The sequence below is a fragment of the Homo sapiens genome, chromosome 7 (genome assembly GCF_000001405.40).
Source record: "Homo sapiens chromosome 7, GRCh38.p14 Primary Assembly".
In the NCBI taxonomy this organism is placed as follows: Eukaryota; Metazoa; Chordata; class Mammalia; order Primates; family Hominidae; genus Homo; species Homo sapiens.
The window spans coordinates 138,171,008-138,177,007 of record NC_000007.14 but is presented as its reverse complement, the minus strand read 5'-3'; the positions used below and the strand labels follow the sequence as shown (position 1 = coordinate 138,177,007).

The window sequence follows — 6,000 nt, the reverse complement described above, 5'->3', positions numbered from 1 at the left end:
TTGTTCCTCTATAGGTAAGGAATTGTTTTCCTTTGGCTTTTTTAGTTGTCTTGTTTCCTGCAGGTACAGATTTTTGCTACTTATCTTGCTTGGTGTTCTCTGTGGCTTGGTGTCTATCATTAATTCCAGACATTTCTCAGCCATTAGTACTTTAGATTTTTCTTTTAGGCTAGGTGTGGTGGCTCACGCCTGTAATCCTAGCACTCTGGGAGGCTGAGGCAGGCAGATTGCTTGAGTCCAGGAGTTTGAGACTAGCCTAGACAATGTGGCAAAACCCCATCTTTACAAAATATATACAAATTGTCAGGGTGTGGTGGCACACGCCTGTCCAGCTACTTGGGGACTGAGGTGGGAGGATTGCTAAAGCCCGGGAGGTGGAGGCTGCAGTGAACCATGATCATGCCACTGAACTCCAGCTTGGGCAACAGAGTGAGATCCGGGTGTCAAAAAAGAAAAAAAAAGGCCTCTGTACATATTTTGCTTCTTTCTCTTCTCCTTCTAGTGTTCCCATTTCCCGTGTTACACCTTTTGTAATTGTCCCACAGTTCTTGAATATTTGGGGTTTTATCTATTTATTTATTTCACTCTTTGCATTGCAGTTTTGGAAGGTTGTATCAGTATCTTCAACCTCATTGATTCTTCGGCTGTGAACAGTCCAACTACGAACCCATCAAAAGCATTCTTCATGTTTGTTACAATGTTTTATATTTATTTTTCCCTTTTCATTTCTGTCAGGTAATGTGCTGACTTCGCAGGAAGGGTTGAGGGAGGCACATCTCACAGATCCAAGTGAAAGCCCAATCATCAAGTGTGAGAGCCGAATCAACCATCATGCTTAGGAATTACAAAAAGATTACAGTGTTTTTTTTATTTCTAACATTTCCTTTTGATTCTTTCTTAGGGTTTTCATCTTTCTGCCTACTTTACCCATCTGTTTTCGTTTGTTTTTCCCAAATTGAATTTTCTTTTTCTTTCTTTCTTTCTTTTTTTTTTTTTTTTAGATGGAGTTTCACTCTTATTCCCCAGGCTGGAGCACAATGGCGCTATCTCGGCTTACCGCCGCCTCCACCTCTTGGGTTCAAGTGATTCTTCTGCCTCAGCCTCCCGAGTAGTTGGGATTACAGGCATGTGCCACCACGCCCAGCTAATTTTGTATTTTTTGGTAGAGTCGGGGTTTCTGCATGTTGGTCAGGCTGATCGCGAACTCCTGACCTCAGGTGATCCACCCACCTCAGCCTCCAAAAGTGCTGGGATTATAGGCATGAGCCACCGTGCCCAGCTTGAATTTTCTTACTTATTTATTTATTGAGACACGTCTCACTTTGTCACCCAGGCTGGAGCGCAGTAGTGCCATCTCAGATCACTATAGCCTTGACCTCCCAAGTTGAAGCAATACTCCTGCCTCAGCCTCCCCCAAGTAGCTGGGACTACAGGCGTGCACCACTATGCCTGGCAAATTTTTTTTAATTTTTGGTAGAGACAGAGTTTCACCATGTTTCCCAGGCTGATCTCAAACTCCTGAGCTCAAGCCATCCACCTGCCTCAGTCTCCCAAAATGTTGTGATTACAGGTATGAGCCACCTTACCTGGCCTTGAATTTTCTTTATTTTCTTTCTCCCTTTCTTTCTCTCTTCTTCCTTCCTTTCTCCTTTTCTCCATCTCTTTCTTCGTTCCTTTTTACTTGAAAAATTTTTGTTTTAATTGTTTGTAGAGACAGTCTCACTCTGTTGCTCAGGCTAGTTCTCAAACTGCTGGCCTCAAGTGATCCTCCTGCCTCGACCTCCAAAGTGCTTAGATTACAGGTGTGAGCTACCACACCCAGCTTCCTTTCTTTTCTTCTCATCCGTCTGGTTTTTTTAATTATTATTTTTTAAATGGTAGTCAAATAAAGCAGTAGGAATGGAGAAGGAACAAAGAAATCTGTAACTGGTTGCGATCAATTAGTTACTCATCTGTTTTTGCATGTAGTTCACGTTTTCCTTTAGAGCACTTAGCATATTAATCATAATTATTTAAAATATCTGCCTGAGAATACCCAAATCTCTGCCATGTCTGAGTCTGGTTCTAATGCTTGCTTTGCCTATTCAAACTGTAAGCTTTCTTGCCTTTTTTTCTGCTTTGTAATTTTTTTGTTGAATGCTGAACATAACGTATTGGGTAATAGGAGCTGAAGTAAATGGGCCTTTAGTTTGAGGCTTTATGTTTATCTGGCTAGGCTGTGTTTAATGTTTGCTGTAGTTATAAAGTGTCAGAGACTTCAGTTTCTCTAGTGTTCTTGTTTTTGTCTTTCCTGTTGCCTTTGGGTTTCCCTAGAGTCTCCTTCTTTAATAGAGCTTGTGTCTTTTATATCTCTGTTATAATCTACTGTTACTATACTGGAACCCTATTGATGTGGTGGTAAGGTATTATGGAGAAGCAGCATTGTATAATCATGATTCAGCCTTCCTTTTCTTTCTTTCTTTCTTTCTTTCTTTCTTTCTTTCTTTCTTTCTTTCCTTTCCTCTTTCTTTCTTCCTTTCCTTTCCTTTCCTCTTTCTTTCTTCCTTTCCTCTTTCTTTCGTCCTTTCCTCTCTCTTTCTTCCTTTCTTTTCCTTTCCTCTTTCTTTCTTCCTTTCCTTTCCTTTTCCTTTCCTCTTTTTTCTTTGTTTCTTTTCTTTCTCTTTCTTTCTTTCCTTTGTCTCTTTCCCTTTCTTTCTTTCTTTCTTTCTTTCTTTCTTTCTTTCTTTCTCTTTCTTTCCTCTTTTCTTTCCTCCTTTCTTTTCTTTCTCTCTTTCTTTCTTTTTCTCTCTCTTTGTCCCTGGCTTGTGACTTTGGGAAGAGTTTTAGCTTTTTTCCCTCCCTTTATATGAGATAGGAAGCTAAAAGTGGCTTAATTGCTTATTGTCCTTCCACAAGATCAGATAAGGCTTTAACAAAGTAGTTTCTTTTGAGAGAAGCATTTTGTTATGGAGAACAGAAGTTTCTGGGCTTATTTCAAAGTGGTTACTTCTTCTCTCCACCTGCCCTACACATGAGGAGATTTTCCTGTGTTCTTCATTGTAAGAACCTAATGGGACTTCCGGAGGAAAACTCATGAAAGTATCAGGGGCGGGAGGGCAGGGGGGTGGGACGGTGTGCCTGAGATTGAGCCCATAATAGTTTTTAACTCGCAGGCTGGTCCACACTCAACCTCCAGCACTTAGTCAGTTACAGTTTAAATGTTCCCACAGGCTTCATCTCTGTCAGCTTCTGCTCCTAGTAAGCTGTGATTCACCTGTCTCTCCAGCTTTTGATGTGGGAGTTTGCTCTGTGACCTAAGTTCTCTGATGGTTCTGAGAAGAATTGCTGAAATTTAGTCTGTACAGCATCTTTTCTTGTTGTAAGGATGGGAGTGATGACTTCCAAACTCTTTACATATTTGTTTGAAAAACTCAAATCATTTTTCCTCACACCACCACCACCACAACAGAGAAGACTTCTGCGACCAAATGTGCGTGGGTTTTCCCCCATACCCTAAGAAACAGACACCAGCTGAGTGTCTTTTAATTCAAGTCACTTTTGGTGCTATCTTCCTGGAGATGGCTTCAGATCCCACATGTTGAGGGCTCAGTCCCACAAGACTGTGTGCCCCCACCCTGACTTTCTTCAGACACCAGTTGCAAGTTCAGGCCTCCAGAAACTTCTGACCAATCAGCTTCAAGTTGGGGTTTCCGCAGCCCCCTCTTCGGGTTCAGTTAATTTGCTAGAGCAGTTCACAGAACTCAGGGAAACATTTACAGGTACTGGCGTATTATGGAGGTTCTTACAAAGGGTACAGATGGAGAGATGCATAGGGAAAGGCATGTGAGAAGGGGTGCAGAGCTTCCAGGCTTCCCTGGGTTCATCACCCTCTAGGAACCTCCATGTTTTCAGGTACCTGGAGGTTCTCCAAAGCCAGTCCTCTTGGGCCTTTTATGAAGACTTCATTGGATAGGCATAATTGACAGCCATGTAGAGATGTGATTGAATAACAGGGTATGATCCAAACCCAGTAAGGCCTGTCTGTTCAGATTCTTCTTGGCCTCTATGGGCAGTATTCCTTCTTCCAGAGTACAGGGCAGAACCCCTTCTGAAATGAGGGTCTCATGACCCATAGTCACATGAGAGTTCTGCCTTGGGCAGGTGCAAAGAGGTCAAGGAGAAGGTCAGAGAGCAAGATTCTGGCTTTTTTGTTGTTGTTGTTTGGTGAGATAGAGATTAACTCTTGTTGCCCAGGCTGGAGTGCAATGGTGCGATCTCGGCTCACTGCATCCTCCGCCTCCCAGGTTCAAGTGATTCTCCTGCCTCAGCCTCCCAAGTAGCTGGGATTACAGGCATGTGCCACCACGCCCAGTTAATTTTGTATTTTTAATAGAGACAGGGTTTCACCGTGTTACCCAGGTTGATCTCGAACTCCTGACCTCAGGTAATCCGCCCGCCTTGGCCTCCCAAAGTGTTGGGATTACAGGCGTGAGCCACTGCGCCCAGCCGGAGAGCAAGATTCTGTTTACTGAAACAAGGGTTATGGGAGTTATGAGCCAGGACCTATAGGCAGAAACCTAATACCACACTATCAGAATGAAAATCTGACAGGCCTGCATGTTTCTGGCCATAATATCTTCCTATTGATTTCATTTTGGGGTCACCCCTATGCAGGACTCAGGCTCAGCTGTGGTCTAAGGGTGGCTTTCCAAGTTCCGCCATCTTCAGGTGACTCAGAATAGGAGTTTGGGGCTCTTTCCATCTCTGAGTCACTCTCTGCCAGGTAGCTCTGAGCCATGGCTATGCAGCGGCTCCCATGCAGGCCAGCTCTGTACACAGGAGTCATCACTGTTTTGGCTATGGCCTTCCTGCTTCATCCCATTACTTTACAAACAGATTCTAGCAATTCTCCTGTTTTTTGACCCACCTGTACCCCACCTATGGGGTGTCTTGGGGCCTCAAATTCCCAGAATTTTCGAGCTTCAGCATTGTGAATCCATTGTCATTAACTCCCTCTTGCTTCCACATATCCGGGTGGACTCCTTTTAGGCACTTTGATTTCAGAACTGCTAAAAGATAAACTGAGGCAGATTAATTTATTTTATTTTAGACAGAGTGTCACTCTGTCACCCAGGCTGGAGTGCAGTGGTGCCATCTCGGCTCACTGCAACCTCCTGGGTTCAAGTGATTCTCCTGCCTCAGCCTCCTGAATAGCTGAGATTACAGGCTTGCACCACCATGCCTGGCTAATTTTTGTATTTTTAGTAGAGACGAGGTTTCACCATGTTGGCCAGGTTGGTCTCGAACTCCTGACTTCAGGTGATCCGCCCGCCTTTGCCACCCAAAGTGCTGGGATTACAGGCATGAGCCACTGTGCTTGGCTGTCACATTAAAATTTTAAAGAGTTTACTTGAACAAACAGCAGTGCGTGGGTTGGACAGCTCCAGATCACAGTACCGGACAGAAGACGCAGGAGTGAAAGGCTTTTATAAGGTAAATGTGGAACCAGGGCAAGACAATATTTGGTAGGTGAAAGTGGAGCAGTAGCCATATTTGGATCATTCCAGTGGAAAGTAGTTCGAGTTTGAGGTTAGATGGCAGTTTCAGAGTGGTTAAGCTTCAGTTTCATTTTCCTTTAAGCTAGTCACTTACAAAAGAGAGCCCAGTGCAGTGGCTTATGCCAGTAGTCCTGGCTACTTGGGAGGCTGAATTGGGAGGATCACTTGAGTCCAGGAGCTCAAGACCAGCTTGGGGAACATACTGAGACTCTGTCTCTATTTAAACAAACAAACACACAGACAAACAAACACACAAACAGATGTATTTGGGTTAGGTTTTGGTTTGCTCATGTAGGAACCTAGGACTTCAGAGCCACCCCTAACTGCCTCCTATTAAATTATTTTAACAGTGCTCTCTGGTCTGTTACACCAGTTGCCAATCTTTCCTCTTCATTCCAGCTCCCAGTTTTGGGTTGATGCCTTTTGTCCTCCGCACTCCTATTCTCTTTGGCCATTTGGGCTT

The 6,000-nt window shown here is 43.8% G+C and overlaps 1 pseudogene, besides 1 other annotated feature; it reads right to left on the bottom strand.

Annotated features, from left to right (window-relative positions):
• Positions 1-725: 725 nt before the first annotated feature.
• LOC124901851 (uncharacterized) lies at positions 726-854 on the bottom strand (annotated as a pseudogene).
• Positions 5,394-5,513: an enhancer, noted in NCBI's record as "active region_26742". NCBI's record gives its function as "activates an Ori minimal core promoter by ATAC-STARR-seq in GM12878 lymphoblastoid cells {active_cell/tissue: GM12878}" and the evidence as "EXISTENCE:reporter gene assay evidence [ECO:0000049][PMID:35858748]".